Genomic DNA, 25,552 nt, shown 5'->3' with positions numbered 1-25,552 from the left:
CTTTCTTATTTTCTGGCACATGATGTTTCAGGCTTATCTTGTACTTTAACTGCTCCAGCCCTGGAATCAGCATTTTCCCAAGGAGCCCTCCCTCCTTTTAGTGTGAGTGATATTTAAAAATCAAGATCTGGATACTAGTTGCTCATTGCTATTGGGTATTACTGCTTCTAGATTCTTTTAGAGGACAGAGCTAGGAAATATCTGTCTATCTGTCTGTCTATGTAGATTATTCCAATTCCAGTGCAACAAATTAGATTCTTTTTTGTCTTCACTTGTTTTATATTTGTATCTGCCTTCTCCCACAGTGAGAACCCTGGCTCCCAACACATCTTGTATGTACCTGTTTGCTTAGTTCTACAATACCCAACATAGTTTTAGAATTGCTATAACTATGGTCTACAAAAAACCTACTAAACAGAGTTTAAGTGTTTTTATTACTTTTTTTGTTTGTTTTTTGACTGAAGATATTTAGCCAAAGTATTGTATTCAAATGTTACTTGAATTATTTTTTTCCATGTAGATGTGCTATTCATTTGAAATATAGTTAATTGGTTTCTGTTTGCATTCAATTTGCATTTTTTTCTCATACTTGTTTTTATTTAACATTATTTTTGAATTTATAGAGCATTAATATGGTTTTAAAATAAAAACTATACAAAATACACACTCACAGAATTATCAATTCCTCTTCTATTCCTTTCATTCTATTCCTATCCACCATCTATGGATAATCAATATATTAATTTCTAGTATATATTTCCTATGGTTTATTTATTTATTTATATTTTTAAATTTATTTATTTATTTATTTATTTTGAGACGGAGTCTCGCTCTGTCACCCAGGCTGGAGTGCAGTGGCATGATCTCTGCTCACTGCAACCTTGCCTCCAGGTTCCAGCGATTCTTCTGCCTCAGCCTCCTGAGTAGCTGGGATTACAGGCGTGCGCCACCACACCTGGCTAATTTTTGTAATTTCAGTAGAGATGGGGTTTCACCATGTTGGTCAGGCTGGTCTCAAACTCCTGACCTCGTGATCCGCCCGCCTCAGCCTCCCAAAGTGCTGGGATTACAGGCATGAGCCACCATGCCCGGCTGGCCATTCCTGTGTTTTTTGGTTTGTTTGTTTTTCTTTAAGAAATAAGCTTTCTTACTCATATGGCATACCACATATACGCTTTTGTATTTTGGTTTTTTTACTTGATCACATACCCTGCAAATCACTCCATATCAGTTCATAGAGATCTCCTAATTCATTTCCCTAGCTGCAGAGCACTCCATTGTGTTGATATCATAGTTTATTAAACCAATCTCCATGCCAGGGATTTTAGGTTGTTTATATACCTTTTCAATTGCAAGTAATGCTGTGTAGGTATTTTTGTATCATCGTTAGAGGTAGTATCAGTCTGGACACAGAGACCATGCAGTAATTAAAATGAGGAGATTTACTATTAAATTATTAAGCTATGATACAATAACATAAAGATGTAAAGAGAACTCTAAAGTCGGGCTGGCAAACTTCTTTATAATGGGACAGACAGTGAATATATTAGGCTTTCTAGGCCATATTTTCTCTGTCATAACCATTCAGTACTTTATAGACAACACATAAATAAATGGACCTGGCTGCATTTCAATAACATTCTATTTACAAAACAGGTAGGGAGCTGGATTTGGCCAGAAAACTGTGGGGTTTGAACACAGTTTGCCAACCCTTGCTCTAAAGAATGCCCTAGGACCGGTCGGGTACAGTGGCTCACACCTGTAATCCCAGCACTTTGGGAGGCTGAGGCAGGAGGATCACCTGAGGTCAGGAGTTTGAGACCAGCCTGGCCAACATGGTGAAACCCTGTCTCTACTAAAAATACAAAAATTCACCAGGCGTGGTGGCGGGTGCCTGTAATCCCAGCTACTCGGGGGGCTGAGGCAGGAGAATCATTTGAACCCGGGAGGCAGAGGTTGCAGTGAGCTGAGATTGTGCCACTGCACTCCAGCCTGGGCAATAGAGCCGGATTCCATCTCAAAAAAAAGAAAAAAGAAGAACGCCCTAGGGCCTAGGGAGAGTGCTCAAGGCAGCACAGACCTGGAAGGGAAACCCCCACCTTCCTAATGAGGTTAAAACCTAGTTGAAGAAGGTGTGGTTGCAGCCTACTGGATAGCCCAACATTTGCTGGGTTCCCTGGGCCAAAGTTTGCCATAGCAGGAAAAAAACCCTCAGGCACACAGGTACATAGAGATGGTCAGGGACCCACCTGGAGCCACTTAGTGTACCCAGCAGGAGGCTCACAGCAAGCTGGTCACTAGGCCTAGGCTGGGAATTGGATTTTGCTGAGGGGCCAAACACTCAGGTACCTCCTGGCTCCACCACTGTCCTTCTACTGCCTCCACTCCCACCCCAGCCATTGCCCCACTGACAGGCTATGCAGTAGAGCAAGTAAAAGCAAAGTGCAGCTTACCAGAACTAGAAATTGCCCCCATTTCTCCTGCAATGTCCCTCCAGTGCCCTCTACTGACAAAGGTTAATTAACGTCGTGCTCTCTGTTGAGGAGAAATGCTTAAAGAGTCCAGTTGATTACCCCAGAGCAGGTACTGAAGGGTAAACTTGAAGCTGAAGTCTCCTGGGGTAAATTCTTAAAAGCTGGATTTGTGAATCAAAGGGTAAAAAAATATTTTGCTAGGTTTTGATGAATTTATTTCAGTGTGTTTGTATCATTCTGCATTGCCACCAACAATGTATGGGAATACTATGTGTTATTTTAAAACGTCATCAACGGCATTGCCAAACTTTTTACTTTTTGTCACTATGATCGTTATGAAATCTTATCTCATTGTAGTTTTTTGTTTTGTTTTCTTTTGTTTTTTTTTAGATGGAGCCTCATTCTGTTGCCAGGCTGGAGTGCAGTGGCGTGATCTCTGCTCACTGCAACCTCCACCTCCCGGGTTCAAGCAATTCTCCTGCCTCAGCCCCCACTGGTAGCTGGGATTACAGGCGTGCACCACCACACCTGGCTAATTTTTGTATTTTTAGTAGAGACGGGGTTTTGCCATGTTGGCTAGGCTGATCTTGAACTCCTGACCTCAGATGATCCACCCGCCTCAGCCTCCCAAAGTGCTGGGATTACAGGTGTGAGCCAACCAGACTGGCCTCATTGTAGTTTTAATTTACATTTCTTTTACTGTTTGTAAAGTTGAACATCTTTTCATATGCTAAGAGTGATAAACTGTTCATATCTTTCATCCACGTCCCTATAGGGTTAGGAAATAAGTTCTTAAACTAGCTTAAAGCAGGAAAAACATCAGGTAAGCTACAACTGCAAATTACCTGTGAAGAAATAGTTTTGTAGAACTCTTGTTGTTTTTCCTAAGTTAGACACCAAAGTTTAATCTAAGTTCAGTTTATTTCAATATTTAGTGAAAACTTCCTGTGGGCCAGGCACCAGAGCTGCAGAGAAAGACATAATCCTTGCTATTAATGAGCTTAGTGGTAAAACAGACATATAAAATCACTTGGGAGATAGTAGAACATAGTGATTAAAATATGAATTAGGGTATGTGTGGACTTGGGTCCAAATTCTGACATTGCCATTTCAACAACTAGCTGTGTAATATTGGATGAGTCATTTCTATCTTTGCGCTTCAGTTTCTTAAGGCAGAGATAATAATATATATCATAGAAATATTATAAGAACTACATGAGTTGTTATATGAAAACAACTGCATGCTGCTTGGTATATAGTAAACATACAACAAATGTTAGCTAATAATAATAATAAATTAAAATGAAATAATGAGTAGTGACAAAATGATAGAGGAATTTACATCACACCATGATTGCATATATAAGCTCATTCCATTTTAGCTGAATTTAAATATATTATAACTAAGCCATCAAAAATGTTTAAACCATATGCAGTTGTTCAGTTTAATAAGAGAATCTATCAGATTTTTTCATATAATTTTCTTAGACATTGATGAAAGTAAATACTTAACAGAAGAATCTCAAATACTGAAACAACTAATCTGACATTCTGAATTGTTAATTATATAAATAAAGTGTTAGTAAAAAATACAAGACCATAGAATTTACATATTATTGTCATCCACTGACAGTTTTAAAGAACTCAAAGACCTACTTCAAGCAGGGAATCACAGTTCAATTGATTGATTCATTTGCTAATTTCCTTTCAGTCTCTATTACCTAATATATACTTAGAAACAAAAGTTGAATTCAAGGGTTACATTTAATGTAAAATATAAAATATCAAAGGTCTAAATATATTTAATAAAAATGCTCAATTCACTATGATACAATGTAGTCTACCTCTTCTACTTCAAAGAGTCAGCAAAAATTTTCCAGGAACCATAATCTTGAATATTCCAAACGTGCAGCTATGTGCACAGCCATAAGAAAAAACAGTTGTTTTATTTTACCTAATTACAAATACTCCAGATATACCTTTGAGGGAAATTAACAAAATACAGAAAAGCAAAAATGAATAAAAGTCACAAATAATTGTATCACTTGGAGATAAACTGTATTTGGGTTGTACCATAGTAAAACAAGTATTTATAGACCTCCTACTCTATGCAGGTGTATTAGTCCGTTTTCACGCTGCTATAAAGATGCTGCCTGAGATTGGGTAATTTATAAAGAAAAGAAATTTAATTGACTTACAGTTCTGCATGGCTGGGGGTGCCTCAGGAAACTTAAAATCGGGCAGAATGGGAAACAGGCACTTCTTACATGGTGGTGGGCGAGAGAGAGAGAGAGAAATAGAGAGAGAGAGGGGAGAAGAGAGAGAGAGAAGAACTGTTAAACACTTATAAAAGGATCAAATCTCACGAGAACTCACTATCACAAAAATAGCATTGGGGAACTACCCTCATGATCCAATCACCTCCCACCAGGTCCCACCCTTGACATGTGGGGATTATGGGAATAACAACTGAGATGAGATTTGGGTGAGGACACTAATGAAACCTTATCAGCAGGTCTAGGTGTTTTTTTTTGTTTTGTTTTGTTTTTTTTGAGATGGAGTCTTGCTCTGTCACCCAGGCTGGAGTGCAATGGCGCAATCTCAGCTCACTGCAACCTCCGCCTCCCGGATTCAAGTGATTCTCCTGTCTCAGCCTCCCAAGTAGCTGGTATTACAGGTGTGCACCACCATCCCTGGCTAATTTCTTGTATTTTTAGTAGAGATGGGGTTTCACCATGTTGGCCAGGCTAGTCTTGAACTCCTGACCTTAGATGATCCACCCGTCCCAGCCTCCCAAAGTGCTGGGATTACGGGTGTGAGCCACCATGCCCTGCCAGCAGGTCTAGTGTTAAACTCTGGAACTGCTTGTGCCAGAGGAATGTGGGAAGCAACTCTGTGCTGCAAGACTGTTCCCTCCTGAATGAGTGATGGCCCCTGCTCTCTGGGCTGGAGACTTGATCTGTAAAATCTGCTCTAGAGTGTCAAGCTACATTCCACATAAAAAAGTTGTGTGTGTGATGATGTTCTGGGGACCCAGATGGCCATGCGCAACACTATGCAGTAACACAGAATCTAAATTCCAAAAACATGCATGCAATGATAACTTTTTCCAGTGGTTTTCATCTTTGATTGGGCAAAGAAAGCTAATGCTCATTGAAATTTTGACAGAACTTAAAGCCCTGCTTGGTTTTAAAGAAACTTGATGTCCAGAACCAAACTCATAAGATACAAATTATCAGGTGATTATTCTTGTGTAAAAAGTGGTCTTCTTTACTAAAGCATTTCCTGCTATCACTCTTTAATTCTACTACATTAACTGAACAGGGGCTACTGTGAGTTATTTTCAGTTGAGTTCCACAAATATACTGAAATTTTCTATTTAATTTACCAGAAATTTATTTAAAGTATAAATTTTCAAGAACATATTAACTGTATACACCTCTAACTATCTCAAAATTTGACTCTTGCTTGGAACTGTGGAGGAATCCAGCTCCATGATTTAGCCATACATTATTTCCATTAACATTAGTTCCATTAAAATGCAACTCAATAGATGGGGCTTCCAAACTTTGCTAAAATTGCATTGGTTTGCAGAATAGCTATAGTTGTGTTAAGATTCGTGACTTCCATAATAGCTTCTAATATTAAACTTTAAAGATCTTAAATTGATTTAGGTATGTTATTGGGTTCTCAGATAGGTCTTTCTTGCCATCTTTTCTCCTGTGGCCCCCTGTCATTATTGGTATCAAAACCATCTCAGGGACTGACTTCTTCAAATATCAGAATAAAAGAAAATACAAATCCAAAATGTGCCTGTCGCCTTGCAGACTCATTCTCTGAGAAATATTTTTTGGTGCATATTTATTTAAATAAAAGGCATAGTGCTCAGAAATTGCCATTTTGACATATTCTATTTAAGGATTGATTGCATTTTCTAGTATTTGTGAATGATATTAATATTCAAAAAAGAATCACAAGGGACCATCTGGAGTTGGACAGAAAGTAAGTGTTCAATAAATGACTCTCAGAAAGACTGCCCAACAGTTTTATATGTTGCTGGTGAGAATGTAAATTGGTAGAACCTTTCTGGAAAGCAACTTTGCAATCTATGATTTGATTTATTAATTCCATCTGGGAATTTATCATAAGGAAATAATAAAAGATGCAAAGATATTTGTGCAGAGATGCTGATCATGTTAATTGGTAAAATGGTGAACTTTAGAAAAAATTTAAAACCCCTCCATATGAAATTGGTTACAGAAATATATTACCTCCATATGATGGTGTGGCTGAGACTGCTTCCTGGTTGCTCAATCTCCATTCTCCTCTTCTTTGTTGTTAACAAGACTCTATATTATTGGAGCCAGCAACGTGCTTATTAATAATACTGTATTTCACAGCTTTCCTTTCAGACAAAGATGACCAATGAGATAAGAGCAGAAGTCCTTGGGTGGGACTTCCAAGTGTCTGGATTACTGCCTGGATCCAGCTGCCTTGATCACTGATATGATGGCTGAAACTCCAGCAGTCATTTGGGGACCATGAGAGAAAAGCCAGGAGAATTGTAGTGACTGCAATTCTGACATTCTTGAACCACTGTAACAAAGCCAACAACTGCCTCCTTCCAGATGTCTCATTATATGAGAAAAAAATAATAAACCATTATATGCTTATGCTAGTCAAACTCTGTTAATAGCAGCCAAACACAATTCCTAACTGACACAGATGAAACATTTTGCAACCATTTAAAATTATCTTTCTAAAAAATAGAATATAATATTAAATCAGAAAGAATATGAAACTCTATATGTGGTATGTCTATTTTGTTCTTAAATTAGACATATACATTATATATGAATGAATACGGCTATGTAATACATTAAAATGTTGATAGTGCCTGTCTCAGGATTATGGTTTTTGTTTGTTTGTTTGTTTTTTGTTTTGTTTTGTTTTTTTTTTTTTGAGACGGAGTCTCGCTCTGTCGCCCAGGCTGGAGTGCAGTGGCGCGATCTCGATTCACTGTAAGCTCCGCCTCCCGGGTTCACGCCATTCTCCTGCCTCAGCCTCCGGAGTAGCTGGGACCACAGCCGCCCACCACCACGCCCGGCTGATTTTTTGTATTTTTAGCAGAGACAGGGTTTCATCGTGTTGGCCAGAATGGTCTCCATCTCCTGACCTTGTGATCCACCCGCCTCCGCCTGCCGAAGTGCTGGAATTACAGGCGTAAGCCACCGCGCCCAGCCAGGATTATGGGTTATTTATTATGATGATGATTTACGCTTTTTTATGTTTTTAAATTTTTCAACATTGAGAATTTTTAAAAAAATGTTTTTGAGGGCCGGGCGCGGTGGCTCACACTTGTAATCCCAGCACTTTGGGAGGCTGAGGCTGGCGGATCACGAGGTCAGGAAATGGAGACCATCCTGGCTAACACGGTGAAACCCCGTCTCTACTAAAAAACACACAAAAAAATTAGCCGGGTGTGGTGCCGGGTGCCTGTAGTCCCAGCTACTCGGGAGGCTGAGGCAGAAGAATGGCGTGAACCCAGGAGGCGGAGCTTGCAGTGAGCCGAGATCACGCCACTGCACTTCAGCCTGGGCAACAGAGTGAGACTCCGTCTCAAACAAACAAAAAAAATGTTTTTGAGATTGCCCAGTATATACACATGACTAGTGGGAAGGTAAATTGGTTATATCTACACATTTTATAGAGCAATTGGTCAACATAGATTAAAAGTTTTTATAGCTTTTATACTCTTTAGCTCTCTATTTTCACCCTGAGGTGTCTATCTTGGTAAAATGAGACCCAAACAAAGAATTATGCACAATGATGTTTACTATAACATTACGTATGATACCAAAAAAATGAAAACAAACTAAATGTCCAACATTAGGAAAGTAGTTAAATAAATTATGATATATCCATCTTATTTTACAAATACACAGAAGTCACAATTAAAGCAAGAGAGATAACATTTTGGAACTAGGTTTAGAGTTATTTACATATTTTCAAATCCCCCCACTCACTGAGGCAACAATGGGCATAAGTGGAATGGAGGGGTACCCCCAATCTAGAAGACATTTCTACCCTCAGCTGGAATTAGATTTCTGTCTGAATCTACAGCAGGAAAATAGCTTTGTTGAGAAAGACAGAATAATTTTCTTTTCTTTTCTTTTTTGAGACAAAGTTTTGCTCTATTGCTCAGTCTGGAGTGCAGTGGCTTGATCTCGGCTCACTGCAACCTCCACCTTCTGGGTTCAAGCAATTCTCCTGCCTCAGCCTCCTGAGTAGCTGGGACTACAGGCGCGCACCACCATGCCCGACGAATTTTTGTATTTTTAGTAGAGACGAGGGTTCACCATGTTGGTCAGGTTGGTTTCGAACTCCTGACCTCAGGTGATTTGCCTACCTTGGCATCCCAAAGTGCTGGAATTACAGGCATGAGCCACCTGGCCCTGCTGATAGAAGAGTTTTCTAAATTATGTTAATATGTTAAGGGCCAATCCTAGCAGAGTCAATTCTTCAAGTTGTTTCTCTCTGCCATGGAAATGAGGCCTCAGGATTGCCTGTCTAGGTAAGAGGAAGATATGATATACTGGGTAGGGAATCTTGGAGTCCACCCCTTCCTGCTCAGAGGAAGCAGCAGCTGCCCTTTGTGCTCCACATCATGTGCTCTTGGCTTGCTTATGGTGCTGTGGAGCCTAAGTAGAGGCTTCCATTCATGATGATAGTCTGAAGCACCTTTCATCTCTCCATTTCTCTGCAGCCACGTTAGGGAGTGGGTTGGATACCTCAACCAATGGGGAAAACAAGACTCGGTGAATAAACCTCCCAGCCTCCCATCCTTTGGAAACACCATTCTACCCAACGTCCCCAGAAGTTCCCCAGTAGGATTGAGCCCCAGTTGCCCAATGGCAACTTGTACAATAACACACTTTGTTTTAGTTTTTCCTTCTTTCCCATTTCTTCCCTGTTCTCACTTCTGCACTTCTGTTTCCTGGAATCACCTTCCATATAAACAACCTGCATCCCAATCCTTACATCAGGCTCGTTTTCAGGGAAAACCGACCAAGACAGATGGAGTGTGGGAAAAAAGAAAAGGCAGAGAGGTATGGACTCTCTTTTGCCCCAGTTTGGAAGCTCAAAAACATTGAGTAATAACTCATTTCACCTGGTATATTTGACCAACATTTTTAAATTCAAAAAATGAATAAAAAAGAATATAGCAGAGTGCATATCATGTAGAAAGGGGAAGTACTATCTCATGAAACTTCTGTTTCAGCAATGTGTATGTGTCAGTTTGTGTGTACGGGATCACAATGTATGATGTATTTCTTCCTGTGGATTGTGGTATAAAAGCTGGAAGGCCTTTTTTGGTATCAAGAAGATACGGGGCTGGGCGCGGTGGCTCACGCCTGTCATCCCAGCACTTTGAGAGGCTGAGGCAGGTGGATCACCTGAGGTCAGGAGTTCGAGACCAGCCTGGCCAACATGGCGAAACCTCGTCTCTACTAAAAATACAAAAATTAGCCAGGTGTGGTGGCAGGCACCTGAACCCGGTAGGTGGAGGTTGCAGTGAGCCCAGATCATGACAATGTACTCCAGCCTGGGGACAGAGTGAGACTCTGTCTCAAAAAAAAAAAGAGGATACTACATGGGTACAAGGAATCCCTGCTGTGCTCCAACAAAATCACCTAAATATTTAAGAGAAAATTTTAATGACATGGAAAACTACTTGTGAACCGTTATCAAGATTGGGACTGGAAGTAATGGGAAATAATTTTAAAATACTGAATACAGTATCACTTCAACTACGTGAGAGAAAAACTGTGAAGTAAAAAACCAGAGTCATTCACTCATTTCCAGTTTTATCCAATAGGTAAATTCCAAAAACACCATATGCAATTTAAAGGTACCTAAGTCAAAACAAGTGTTCTCATATGAAATAAGGCAAAAGCAGGAGACACATTGTTAAAGGTCACAAAGAAGCTAACTATTTTTCTTCTGGCTTTTCAAATTAATATTAGCAATAATTAATGATTCGGCTTGGGGAAGAGGTGAGCTAAAAAAATTGTGTTCATTCATGGAGCAAACAAACAAAAGGAGACTGCTGATACCTAGTGAACCACAGACAACGGCGAGCCTATCAACAGCTGTGTTACTCTGTCTTCCCTAGGAGAAGAATTCTTCCTTTAGAAGGCGGCCATGTGCATTCTCAGCACTAAAATCTTGGTCACCAAGAAAGTATTGTTCTGAGGGCGTTTGCACTGAGCATGCCCTGGTAAGTGCTTTGACTGACAACCTCCCAGTGGACTCCAAGGTTGAGAGGCTTCTATTACTCACAAAGCCAGAGGCCTGCCTGAGCTACTGACATTTTCCAGTCATTGCCGCATTTCACAATCTCCATAACGAGCAGGACTCTGCAGCTCTTGTTCCACAGTGCCTGGAATTGTGTTTTCTACGCAGAAAAAAACATTTGATGGATGACAGAGGGAAAGTGAAGGGAGCACCTGTTCACAAGTCCTAATTTTAGAAACATGCACAGCCACAGGGAGGAAGAGGAGGCTGAGTGATGGTCCTGCTTCACGTGGCTGCAACAGCTGTATACTTTCCAGCATTGGCTGTGGCCTCCCAGGCACTTCAGACATTGCAGTTTCCACAGATTCTGCTGCCATCACCCATTTAGAAGACAATTGTGTATGTCTGCTTTGAAAAAGGTGTTAATGTTTTCACTGTTTTATTGAAAAAGCATGTAAGTTAATTGTTCATATGTTGAGTGGAAGGCATATATAACAAAATATTTATCGTGTTTTCTTCTAGATAATAGGGTTATAGGAGGCAGCAAAATTACTGGGAATTTTAGCTCCTGTTTTGGGCCTAGCCTTGAATCAACTTTCTATATACCAGAACTATATTTTATTCTTGCATTAACCAATGAAACAGGTACTATTATCCTTATGTCACAGAGGAGGAAAATGCATAATATTAATAATAGTTAATAGTTATTGAGCAAAAACTATGAACCAAAAATAATGCTGAAAGCTTTACCTGTATAATCTCACTTCTCACAACAACCCAATGAAAAAAGTACACTTATCTTCCCATTTTAGGTAGAAGTAAGGCTTTAGAGAGGCTACTTGAGAGGAAAGAGTGAACACAGCAGGTCTGGTGGCTTACTCCTTGCTCTCTCCAAAGGAACCATGATTGGCCCTTGGTCACCCTTAGGAATGTGGCCCTGAGAGAGTTCTTCATGTTATGATTGATAATTTTGTTATATACATCTGAATCAATGGACCATGTCTTACTTGCTCATCAAGTGCCTTGCACTAACGTCAAGATTGATGATGTGCACCTGGTTTCACTGTTGGGTCCTGGATTTTGGTTGCCATGGTAGATTGTGTAGCAGGATGTTTCTATGCTAACAGCCTCTGTAGAAAGACCTTGGACCCTGAGACTCAAAGAGTCTTCCCTGGGCAGAAACATTTCACCCATGTCTCTGAATTTTCCTGCCAGAGAGATCACTGTTGTGCAGCCTTGGATGATAAAGAACTGTGGAAGCCTGTGCCTGACCTCTCCAGACTCTAAAGATGCACATCTTTTTCCTGATGCTTTTGCTCTGTATCCCTTCCTACAGAAAATTCTAGTGCAGACTGCTACTGAATCTTGTGAATTCTTCACGGGTTGAAACACTATCCAAGACCATGCAAGTATAAGGTGGTAGAAATAGAATTCAGGGGCAGGCAGCCTAGCTTCTAGCCTGTTCTCCCAATTATCTACTACCATCTAACTATCACACAATAGATACCGTACTCAAAATTAGTGCTTTTAACATTATTATTTCTTCACTTCCTTTACTTTCTAAATCTTTGATGAGCATGCAATATTTGATAATCAAAGGGAGAAAAAATTTGTAAATATCCATGGTTAACAGAGAGAAACAAGAGGATCCAGAAAAGAACAGACTAAAAGAAGGTACATTGGAGTGGTACAATATAATGAAGTGAAGGAGCAAGTTTAAAGATAGGGCAGTTTTATAGGATAAAATCTTCCCAATATTTGGGTGGGCAATGATTTATTAGATAGGACACATTTAGTATGAATCATAAGACGAAAAACTTGTAAATTTAACCTCATCAACATTAAAATTTCTGCTCTGTTAAGACACTGCTAAGAAACTAAAAAGGCAACTCACATATTGACAAATGTGTAATAAATATATCTGATGAAAGACTGATATCCAGTGTACATAAAGAATCTTTACAACTTAAAATATTAGAAAGGAGCAAAATATTTGAACAGATATTTTATAAAAGAAGGTATAGAAATAGAAAATAAACACAAAAAAGATTCTCAATATGATTAATGATTAGGAAAATATGAATTAAAACCACAGTGAGATATGACTACACACCTGACAGATGGCTAAAATTAAAGACTGACAATGTGGAGCAACTGGAACTCTTATACATTTCTGTTAGAAATTCAATCAGCTTGGAAAAACAGTTTGCAGTTTCTTAAACATACCTAAGCTGTATAATGTAGTGTTCCCACTCCTATTTACCCAAGATAAGTGAAAACATATGTCTGCTCAAATATTTATGTATTAATGTTCATGGCTGTGCGTGGTGGCTCATGCCTGTAATTCCAGCACTTTGGGAGGTCGAGGCAGGTGGATCAAGAGTTCCAGACCAGCCGGGGCAACATAGTGAAATCCCATCTCTACAAAAAATACAAAAATTAAGCAGGCATGGTGGCATGTGCTTCTAGTCCCAGCTACTGGGGGGACTGAGGTGGGAGGATCGCCTGAGCCCAGAAAGTTGAGGCTGCGGTGAGGCAAGATCCCACCACTGCACTCCAGCCTGGGGGACAGAGCGAGACCCTGTCTCAGCAACAATAAAGTGTTCATAGCAGCTTTGTTTATAATAGCTGAAACCTGAAAACCACCCAAATATGTGTTAGCAGGTGAATGGATAAGGAAATTATGACTGATTACTTCAATGGAATACTACTCAGCAATAAAAGGGAACAAAGTTGATATGTACAACAACATAGATGAATCTTAAGAACATTATGCTGAGCAAAAGAAGTCAGACACGAAAGAATGTCTATTGTATGATTTTACTTATATGCAATTCCTTCGATTGCCTTGGGCTGGAGGAGGAGAGGATTGACTGCAAAGGGCCATGAGGTGAACTTTTGGAGTGATGGAAATGTTCTATATCTTAATTGTGGTGGTGGTTACATGGGCATATACATTTGTCAAAACTTATCAAAGTATGTGCTTCAAATGAATGAGTTTTTTTTTTTAATGTATCATACCTTAATGTCGTTGATTTTTAAAAAAATAATAAGGGGCTGGGAGGGGTGGCTCATGTCTGTAATCCCAGCACTTTGGGAGGCTGAGGCAGACAGATCACCTGAGGTCAGGAGTTCAAGACCAGCCTGTCCAACATGGTAAAACCCTGTCTCTATTAAAAATACAAAAATTAGCTGGGCGTAGTGGCACATCCCTATAATCCCAGCTACTCAGGAGACAGGCAGGAGAATCACTTGAACCTGGGAGGCGGAGGTTGCAGTGAGCCGGGACTGCGCCACTGCACTCCAGCCTGGGTGACAGAGACACACTCCATCTCAAAAAAAAAAAAAAAAAAAAAAAAAGGCAGTTTTATTGAAAGAGGAATTGTCAATTCTCTCAAATGTTACAGAAAGGCAAGGAGAAGGTAACTGGAAAAAGGCCATTGGATCTATCAGTTGAGGGTGACTAGGAGTTTCAAGATTATAAAACTAATAGACTTGGTATTCAGAAATCAGATGATTGGGATGTAAGAAGGGAATACTTGGCAGGTAGAACAATTTGGGCTGCTTTTGATCCATGGAACACCAGATGCTGGCTCACACAGGCATATGCTAACCATATAGCAATAAATCTCAACCTGTGGAAATCCAAAACCCAGAAATCTAATGAAACAATTAACTGTATTGCTTATTAAAGATATTTTATAACCTCAAGTAGAGGAATATAAAGATTCCCTTCATCACTAGAAGTTTTTCTTTTTAAAGCAAACATTAATTATATTTTTAAGCCTTCTTAAGATTCTTTTACCAATTCTCAGCCGAAGGCCTCTCTTCCTACTAACCTGAGAAGGCTCCCTCTCACATTGGCATAAGATTCCTCATCTAGGTTCTTCATCATCCACAGTTCCCCTTTTCTACACCACGAAGATGGATCCTGCTCTACTTACAGGCTCTCTCCCCTACTGCACCATGAATTCTACCAGCACCAGTGCTGAAAGGCATATTTGTCAGTATCTACAGTTATCCCCTTGCCACTGACTCCTTCCCTTTCTGTTTACCCGGCATTCCAACTTCAAACACTGTTCTCTACCTCTTTTCAATGCCGAAGCCATCAAACTTCTCAAACAAGTCAAACCCTTAGGTCACGATTTCTTGATCATATTTTTCCCACAACCTGGCTTCCTCCCCTGCCCCAAGAACCTCCCTTATGCCAAATCCAGTAGGATTCTGTAGACACACTCTCTCTAAGCTTTCTATAATATTCGACATGGAATGTCCCTTTTTGGCTTCTGAGAAACTTTTCTTCCCATTTCCATGCTAGAGTTCTGCCTTTCCTTTCTTTTCTTCAACTGAATCTTCCAGCCAATCAGTTGGGATATTCCCTTAAACATTTCCTCTACCCACCCTCAGTGCAACACTTCTCCAATGCTAAGGTGCATATGACTTGCCTGGGAATCCTGTTAAAAAGCAGATTTGGATTCAATAGTTCTGGAGTGGGGCCTGAGATCTTGCACTCCTAACAAGCTCCTGCAGGAGATCAATGCTGCCAGTCTAGGGACAAGCTAAGTAGCAAAGTCTCAGAGAACAGAGCCTATATCCAGATTCAAACACTTTCAAGTTCACCAACTCCAAACGTGATGAGTCCAACATGAAATGCTCAGGAGTTAACAGTCTAAGCGCCACAGAGATGAACATTCAGTGAGGATTACCCATAACTTTATTATATAATTTTTTAAGGGAAAAGCAGTTTTCCTCAATATATTAGAGATTGATAGGAAATACAAGCTCCAAACATGGCAGATAATTGGAGGGCTTGTTTTCCTTTAGAAACAGATGCAATGAGAAGGTGAAATTACATGAGGAGGATTCTGCCGAATCCTCAGGCATGTGAAATGGGATAGTTTTTCCTAGAATACTCATTGCTCACTGAATGACAAGAAAAGATTCAGTCACTCTCAATTCCAAATAAACCAAACATATATTGCCTCACATGTGATTGTCCAATTGCATCCACCTTCTTTCTTTGTGCTCTTGAGTTGGCATTTGATTTCAGATTCCTCCTCCCAGACTTATTCAGCTAAGCCAGTAATTCAACCTCCATGGGATGTCAATGATCACCTAGGAAGATAACAGCCTTGGTCCTTCTGTACCATGACTCTTTGAAAGCCCGGTTTCTTTTGTCTCCTTTCTTCCTGTTTATTAGAAAGATTTTCCCCAAAGTTGGAGAATTCCTTCAATAGCATGATTTGGGCCTGGTGATTATGAGATGTCTCAGCTGCACTTTGTTATTTAATAAAAATAATAAACAAAAATAATTTTTAAAAAGAGGTCACTTAGTGTGTTTGGTACTTCAGCAATACACGGACACTGAATTTCAAATCTTCCATGAGTCCACTAAAATCTTGCTCCAGTGAATATCAAGTGGCATTAGAACACAGAATATTTGGAAGCAATTTCTTGATAAAAGGCTTTGCCTATTGAGGATATTATTTCAGGCAACCAGAAAATAAAGACTGAATTATAAAGCAATTTGTGTCAAGATGCAAGTAATAGCTACTGGAATAGCAAATGAATGCTGTATTATCACTGCTACTAAAGTGAATCAAAATTAATTCACAGTGAACCATTTTCCCAAAGATGGAAAGAATTTGTGGGTTTACTATCATGAACAGCCAACAGTAGAAGTTAGCATTTGTCAAATACTAAATGCGAATCTTCAAATAATTAAATAAGGTAAGAAGAGGATAGGAAAAAGAAATTTTCCTTTAGAGTTCATTGAGGAACACCTCACACCTCTTTGAGTTATCTAATGGGGAATAATTAAATGAGGACAGAGATGAAGTCAGACTTGATCGTACAGTAAAAATGGAACACTTTCTTTGTCTCAATATTCCGAGCAATTCATCCTAAAGAGGTTGCAGACTTGGGAGAAACACTGTTTGAAGCACATGGTGAAAGGGGAATGTATCTCTGTTTATCACTGAATCTCTGCTTGAGTCACACAATGACAAATCTGCATTTTCATATTCAAGCATAAGAGCTGTAATGATTCAAATGTTGTCCCATCCATGCTTCCTGTCACCACCAATTGAATCCCCAAGGAGGGAACGTGGCATAGGAGGAGGCTTGGGAAGTGAAATAAAGTACACCAGGTTTCAAGTGTTTGTTAGGCCATTTGCCAACTAAGTGATTCTAAATAATTCCCTTGGTCCCTTACAGATTCAGTTGACACAAATGTCGTTAATATTACCTAATCGTTAGAATGATGAGGGTTTAACAAGTTAACACACATGAAACACCTAGCCCAGTCCATATAGAGTTGCTGTCATTACCAGCACACTTTACCACTTCAGACTTACCCTGTGAAAGTCTATCTTGCGCTCTGTTATCTGTGGAATAAAGTCCAGTGTAGACTGATGGGCAAGAACCTCCAGATTCGTTCCCTTTCCATCCCAAACTAGTTAACTCACTCAGAGTAACCTTTGGGCTTTCTTATTTATTCATTAACTCATTCAATCTTTCATTGATTTATTAAATATTTATTAACTACCAATTAAGAAATAGGTATTGGAATATGTGCTGGGGTTCAAAAGGTAAATAAGACACAAAAGTGCTACCCTCAAAGCAGGTCTATCATGCAATGGGAAAGCCTCTATAAAAGACGTAAAGTGCTGTGAGAACACAAAGGAGGAAGCATTTAATTCAGACTTTGTTCTTCTCTTTGTTCTCAAGATCCTTCCCTATCTCTATTATATAAATCTTATTCAACTTTCAAAACCAGACATTTCCAAGCATTGACTCCTTCAACAGGCATTTATCATGTTCTTACTGAATGCTTAGCCCATTACAAAGTGTGTTTTCGGCCGGGCATGGTGGCTTACGCCTGTAATCCCAGCACTTTGGGAGGCTGAGGTGGGTGGATCACCTGAGGTTGGGAGCTCAAGACCAGCCTGACCAACATGGAGAAATCCCGTCTCTACTAAAAACTACAAAATTAGCTGGGCACGGTGGCCACACCTGTAATCCCAGCTACTCGGGAGGCTGAGGCAGGAGAATTGCTTGAACCCAGGAGGCAGATGTTACAGTCAGCCAAGATCGCACCAGTGAACTCCAGCCTGGGCAACAAGAGCAAAACTCCATCTCAAAACAAAAAAACAAAAAAACAAAGAAAGTGTGTTCTCACAACTCTGAATTGCTGCTCATTTGTTACCTATCAGATGTTCTCTTGCATTCTCAATTATGCCATTATGTGTCTCTGTTTCCCAACTTGATTTTCAGTTCACTGAAATCAAGGATTTGATCTTCTTGGATGAATGCCCACAACTGCTAACAAAGTAGAAGCAAATAGTAGATGATCAATAAATTTTTGTTTCTTGTTTTTAAGTTTCAATGCCAAATTAAGTTTGAGGTTCAAACTAAATACCTCAGAATATTTACATGAATTAATTGATTAAAAATGATGTGTAACATAGGATATTGGCAGTGGATACTTGAACAAAAAAGGAGGAATGGATTCTGGGTAGAAAAATCAACTAACTTTGTCCTGTGTGGTGGCTCACACTTGTAATCCCAGCACTTTGGGATGCCAAGGCGGGTGGATCACTTGAGCTCAGGAGTTCGAGACCAGCCTGGCAACATGAAGAAACACTGTCTCTACTAAAAATACAAAAATTAGCTGGGCGTGGTAGTGGGCGCCTGTAATCCCAGCTACTCAGGAGGCTAACGGAGGAGAATCACTTGAACCTAGGAGGTGGAGGTTGCAGTGAGCCGAGATCATGCAAATGCACTCCAGCCTGGGCGACAAGATCAAGACTCTGTCTCAAAAAAAAAAAAAAAAGGAAAACCAACAAACTCAGCCACCTCTCTGCTATGGTATTTTAAATACAGCAGGATTGTGTTCCAGTATTTGACACTGAGAATGTTTTTTCTCAGTATTTATAAATAAGATATTGTAATTAGAATGACATTCAGATTTTTAAATTTTCATCCTGAAAGGACTTATACATATTTTCCAGGGCAAATGCTATTATCATTTAAATCCTTGATCAATTTTCTCTACACTGCAGTGAAACCATTTCAATGTTTGCTTTGTACTTCCATTTTTATTTTACCAAAATTATTTTCACTGGGATCAGTTCTCCTTTGCGTACAATTTCCAAGAAAGGTTTGATTCATCATTCAAGTTATTGTCCATATGAAACTACTGATTATATTTTTGCCACTTTGAATTTTGTTTTGTCGCCCTCATTTTTAATAATTCCAATTTTATCTGGATCGCATTGGACAGAGACAGATATAAAATACGAAGTAAAAGGTCTCATTTCTGGAAATTTATATTGTGCTGATAACTTCTATGAATCTAATTTTTCATGTCAATTTTTAGTTTTCAATATCACTAAAAAGATGTCATTCGCCAACCAGGTTTGTGCCTTTGCGATATATTTTATGTGTGAACAACATTAGCCAGGATCAGTCGATTATTTCTCAAAAATCTACTGTTTCCCAGTGATCTGGTCAAATTGTCCTTGGAATTAAAACAGCAGAGTCAAATGGCACTGTCAATGGAGAAGAAACATAATGTCCTTCTACTTCAGAAGTCCCACATTAGAGATGCAGTAGTTTTTCTTTTCTACCATTATAATACAAACACCCTCTGGAAGAATAAAATGTTAAAATATCAGTTGGTGAGAGGCAAGTAGTTAAGAGTATGTACTCTGAAGGAATGCCTGGATTGAAATCCCATCTCTATCACTCACTAGCTGTGTGAATTTTGATAGCTTAACTTACTAATCTGTGCCTCGGTGTCCTCGTTTGTAAAATAAAATTGATGTGAGGATTAAATAAGTTGTTAAATCAGTTAATAACTCAGAACAGTGCTTGGCACATACTGATTTTCAATAAAAGTTAGGTTCCATTATTACTACTTGAATAATTGTTTCAATAGCTTCCAAATACACCATATGCTTTCATATCTTTGTTCAGCCATGCTTCAATTTCCTCTTCTAAAAAATGGGGCTATTAATAAATCTCCCTCATACAGTTGTTATAAAATCTGAATGTGTAATACAAGTGCTTGTAACAATGCCTGGCCCAGGTTTAAGTGCTACAGTAAGTGCTGTGTTAGCTGCTATTATTATTTTCACCACAGAGTAAGTGAGTTTACAGTTTCCTTCTAAGGGCCTAAGAGCTAGTTTCCATAACGAATATTACAGAGACAACACAAGGACCCAGGGGTAAAGCGTGCTACTGATGAGTATAAGACTAAGTTAAAAAGCAAAAGGAGCCTATGCAGCCATTTAAAATGATAATACACAAAAAATATATGCTCCATGAAGATAGGAATTTTTGTCCTTTTTGTCCTCTGCTATATACCCAACACCTAGAACAGTGCCTGGGACATCTTAGGCAGTCTATAAATACTTGTAAAATGAATGAATGAATGAATGAGTGAATGAAGATGAAGACTATGTGGCACCATTGAAAGCATTTCTTATATGGCATTAAGTAAACAGAGCAACATATAAAATTATATCACATTATCATCAATATATGCAAGTAGTGAAGATGAAAAAGTAATGTATAGAATTAAAAATAGTTGTGTTATTCTGTCTGTTACATTGTTATGTTATCTTTTTATAAGGTAAAATAAAGAAGGCAAATGTTAAAAGTTCTTAAAGAAAAACTACAGCCATGTCATAACTTGATATAACTTGGGGCACCATACTCATATCCTTTTAAAGTTGATCCTGAGAAATCTATGATCATATAGAAAAAAATTGGACTGAAACCAATTAATTGGAACCCTTAATTAGTGGGATTACTTTTCAAATTTCTGATTTCAAGAGAAAAGTGAAAACAGTACACAGGCATAATATGTGTTTAATGAACACAGACACACACACACACACACACACACACACACACACACACACTTTCCTTCAGATTATATCTTGAGCTGATTATCCATTTAACCCAATCTCCTAGACCCTCTACATCCCCTGTACAGCACAATGAGTATTTATGCTCATAATGATCTTTCTGGGGCACTGCAAGGACTTCGATCATCAAAGATTCAATTATGTTCAACACCCTACACTTCCTAAGGCATGAAAGAGCCTAATGCATTTTAGAAAGATTTTTCTATGGAAAGGTTTGAACAAAGCGTGTTGGGTTAATTTCTAGTTAACTAGAAATTTAATTAACCAAAATGACATGTCCCCTGAACATTCCCATTAAATGAGGTTTGATTGTACTTTGATTTCTGAAATCATTGTAGAGCTTCTTCCTATTAATAGTTCCTGGTGGAAAAGATATAATTCTAGAGTCAAACTGTTTGGGGAAGATTTTATTGTTCTTAGTCTTAAAGACAAAGAGACAACAGGCAGAAAAAAAATCCACTTCTTGAATGGTTCTCTATGTTTGACTTTGACCCTTAGATATGCTGCATGAAAGAAGTAGCCCAGTTAGAGAGAAAACAAGAGTTTGGGTTCTTATACTTTCTATTTAAGATGATACTGATGTTATAGTTCTCATTTGAGAAAGTGTATGTCGGCCATTTAAAATTAATTTTTTTTAATTTGTTTCCCAGATTAACGGTCCTTCTAAAATAGAAAACTGAATGAAGACTCTGTTATTTCATTTGCAAAGCTTATTGAAGCACATATTTATGAAATTAGACATGGAGAAGTGAACCACCACCACCTGCTCAACCACCACGAGAATTTGTATTATTTCGAGATAAAAGAAAATAAATTAATATGCATGTGGTAATTCCTCCACCTTCTTCTTCAACCTTGCTAGTGTCTCTTAGGAAGGAGTCTGGGTCTTTTGTGATGATAATGGCCTAATGGGCGAAGTTAAAAATCCCAAGGAGCCAGGGGCTCCATAAGAGGAGAGGCCTTGTGGACTAGATTTTATGCCTTTTTGAATATTAATTTTTAGTTTATCAAACCTTATGTACAATGAGATTGAAAAGACAATTATTTCTAAAGAGCATATAAGAAACCTGCAGTCCCTCTGACTGCCCCTTTCCATCCAACAGTAGGCTTCCTCACAGGGTGTTGGACTCTGAAAAGGCAAACCCCAATGCACAAGAGCTTATCAAGTCTGCACTTGCATCATGTTTTCTGGAATACTATTGGCTAAATCAAGTCACATGACCCAGCCCACAGTCAATGTGGGAGGGGACTAGATAGGGCAGGAATGCTGAGAAGGGTGGTTCATTGGAGACTGTTAGCAAAATAATCTCCAACACATGTTGAAACCTCATCACTATATCTTTTTTCTCTTTTCTCTTCTTTTTCTTTTCTTTTCTTTTCTTTTTTTTTTTTTTTTGAGGCAGAGTCTTGCTCTGTCTCCCAGGCTGGAGTGCAGAAGCGCGATCTTGGCTCACTGCAACCTCTGCCTCCCAGGTTCAAGTGTTTCTCCTGCCTCAGACTCCCGAGTAGCAGCGGGGATTACAGGCATCCACCACCACACACTGCTAATTTTTGTACTTTTAGTACAGACGGGGTTTCACCATGTTGGTCAGGCCGGTCTCGAACTCCTGTCCTCACATGATCCACCTGCCTTGGCCTCCCAAAGTGCTGGAATTATAAGCATAAGCCACCGCGCCCAGTTCATCACTATATCTTTTTGGTAATAATTTCCATCTTCCTAACTCAAAGATGAAATTCTACAGAGCTGTGTATTTTTATGGTCCCATTTCATCTTCATCAAAGTCTTCTGAGGAATTCCAAGAGGTTCTCCATTGATAATGCACAGCAAAATTTCTTAGTGTCCACTTTCCTTGTCTTTCCCTCTGCATCTGAGTGGCAGTCTCCCTGTATTTGTTTTCTATTGTTGCCATAACAAAGTACCACACATTTGGCGTCTTTTAAAAGACCACCATTGATTATCTGTAGGTCAGAAGTCCAGTGGGTTCAGCTGAGCACTCCACCGGCTACCAGGCTAAAATCAGGGTGTCAGCTAACCTGGATTTTTTAATCTGGAAGCTCTGGGGGAGAATTGGCTTCAGGGCTCATTCAGGTCCTTGGCAGAATTCAGTTCCAGAGCTGGAAGATGGAGGTCCCTGTTTCCATGTGGGCTGTTGACCAGAAGTTATTCTCAGCTTCTAGAGGCTGATCATGTTCTTTGGCTCTTGGCCCCCTTTGTCCTCAAAGCCGACAATGGTGTATTAAATCCTTCTCATGCTTCACATCTCTCTGACCTCTCCTTCTACCTCATCTCTCCTGCCTTGTCCTCTGACACATCTCTCTGCCTTTCTTTTCTATGTTTAAGGGCTCAGATGATTACTTGGGCCTACCCAGATAATCCAGGATAATCTCCCTATTAGTAACCTTAATTCCATTTGCAAAGTTCCCTTGTGGTAATACATAGATTAGTGGTTGCGTGAATAAAGAAGGGAGAAGAATCATGGGAGGACACCATTAGAATTCTGCCTACCATACTTCCCACATCTTTCTCTTTCCTGTCTTAAACTTCCCACAAAAATGTCTCTAAAATCCAGCCCTAGGTGGTGGAATAAAAATATTTCTTCCCTCTTATCTCTAAAAATGCTCCTAAACCACAAGAAGAATAAACCAAAACACAAACTCAATTTTTTTATTAAACTAGAAAAAACCTTTTATATCGCTAGTATATAGATAGAGAAAGCAGATGGAAGAATCGTAAATTATTTAGCAGAGAGGAGGAAATTCAAAGTTGGTGCTGATAAGAAGCCAGATTGCCTCATAGAAGTTTAAGAAAGGCTCAGGATTCAAGGTGCTAAGGGTGAAAAACCCTGCATTACCCATATTTGGTGTTTACCAATGAAAACCCCAGCTCATATCTCTTTTTTTAAACTTTATTTATGGACATTTGGAATTGACATTTAATAATTGTACATATTTACGGGATGCACAGTGATATTTCAATACACATAATGTATAGTTATCAGATCAGAGTAATTAGCATATCCAACATATCCATCATAAAAAAATATTTATTGTCTAGAGGCAGTGGCCCACACCTGTAATCCTAGCACACTGGATGGCTGAGGTGGCAGGATTGTTTGAGCCCAGTAGATCGAGGCTGCAGTGAACCATGACTGTGTCACTGCACCCCAGCCTGGGAAACAGAGCAAGACCCTGTCTCAAAAAAAAATTATAATTTATTTGTTTCAGGAGCATTCAATACACTCCATCTACCTATTTAACCCATGTAATATGTTATTGTTAACTACAGTCATCCTACAGTGGTATAGAACACTAGAGCATATTCTTCCTATCTAATTATAATTTTTTTTTTTTTTTTTTGAGACAGAGTCTTGCTCTGTCACCCAGGCTGGAGTGCAGTGGTGCGATCTTGGCTCACTGCAACCTCCACCTCCCGGGTTCAAGCAGTTCTTGTGCCTCAGCCTTCCAAGTAGCTGGGACTACAGCTGTGTGTGCCACCATGCCCAGCTAATTTTTGTATTTTTTGGTAGAGACGGGGTTTCACCATGTTGGCCAGGCTTGTCTCAAACTCCTAGCTTCAAGTGATCCGCCCTTCTTGGCCTCCCAAGGTGTTGAAATTACAGGCATGAGCCACTGCGTCCGGCCCTAGTTATAATTTTGTATCCTTTACATCTTTCCCTATTCCTCCCTTCCCCTTAATTCTTCCCAGCCTCTAGTATCCTCTGTTCTATTTTTTACTTTTATGAGATCAACTTATTTTAGCTTCTACATATGAGGGAGAACATGTGGTGTTTAACTTTCTGTTCCTAGCTTATTTCACTTAACATAATGTCCTCCAGTTCCATCCATGTTGTAGTGAGTGACAGGATTTCATTCTTTTTTAGGGCTGGATAGTATTCCATTGGGTATATATGCCACACCTGAAAGATTCATCTGTTATTGGACACCTAGGTTGATTCCATGTTTTGGTTATTGTGAATAATGCTGCAATAAACTTGGGAGTGCAGATGTCTCTCTAGTCTAATGATTTCCTTTCCTTCAGATAAATGCCCAATAGTGAGACTGATGAATCATTTGTGGTTCTATTTGTAGTTTTTGAGGGATCGCCATAGTATTCTCTACAGTTGCTGTACTAGTTTACATTCCCACCAACAGTGTATAAGCATTCTCTTTTCTCTGTGTCCTCATCCCAGCTCATCTCTTGACTCATCCATAGGAAGCCCACTAGTAGTCATGCCTTGCTCAAGCACACAAAGGCTCTAGTTAGCTTTATAATATAATACAATATAATAATATAAACAGAGTGCCAAGGATCACCAGACATTTGTAAAGACAAAGACCAAAACCAACCAACCACACATACAAAAAGAATCCAGAGGAAATAGAGACGATTCAGGAGCAGAAGAAAACTCAAAAGAAATTATAATGAATATTCTCAGAGAGATACAAGAAACTCTTGCGTCCATAAAATAAGAAGAGTATATTATAAAAAGTAGTAATTAGGCTGGGCAGAGTGGCTCACACCTGTAATCCCAGCACTTTGAGAGGCCAAGGTGGCTGGATCACCTGAAGTCAGGAGCTCGAGACCAGCCTGGCCAACATGGTGAAATCCCATCTCTACTAAAAATACAAAATTAGCCGGGTGTGGTGGTGGGTGCCTGTAATCCCAGCTACTTGGGAGGCTGAGGCAGGAGAATCACTTGAACCCGGGAGGTGGAGTTTGCAGTGAGCCAAGATTGCACCACTGTACTCCAGTCTGGGCAACAGAGTGAGATTCTACCTCAAAAAACAAAAACAAATAAAAAATAAAATGTAGTAATTAGAAAATAAGAAAGAACCTTTTATAGG

At 39.3% G+C, this 25,552-nt stretch overlaps 1 long non-coding RNA gene across 1 annotated transcript in view; it reads right to left on the bottom strand.

Moving 5' to 3' along the window:
- Positions 1-25,552, bottom strand: part of CLRN1-AS1 (CLRN1 antisense RNA 1) — a 108,049-nt gene that overhangs the window by 10,978 nt on the left and 71,519 nt on the right. Inside the window, exons 2-4 of the long non-coding RNA NR_024066.2 lie at positions 6,746-7,106; positions 4,673-4,736; positions 3,320-3,439 (exon numbers count right to left, since the gene is read on the bottom strand). This is a non-coding gene — a long non-coding RNA (CLRN1 antisense RNA 1). The remainder of the gene's footprint in view (positions 1-3,319; positions 3,440-4,672; positions 4,737-6,745; positions 7,107-25,552) is intronic.

Source organism: Homo sapiens, chromosome 3 (genome assembly GCF_000001405.40).
Source record: "Homo sapiens chromosome 3, GRCh38.p14 Primary Assembly".
NCBI lineage: Eukaryota > Metazoa > Chordata > Mammalia > Primates > Hominidae > Homo > Homo sapiens.
The sequence above is the reverse complement of the archived record's forward strand: the minus strand, read 5'-3'. Positions and strand labels throughout refer to the sequence as shown.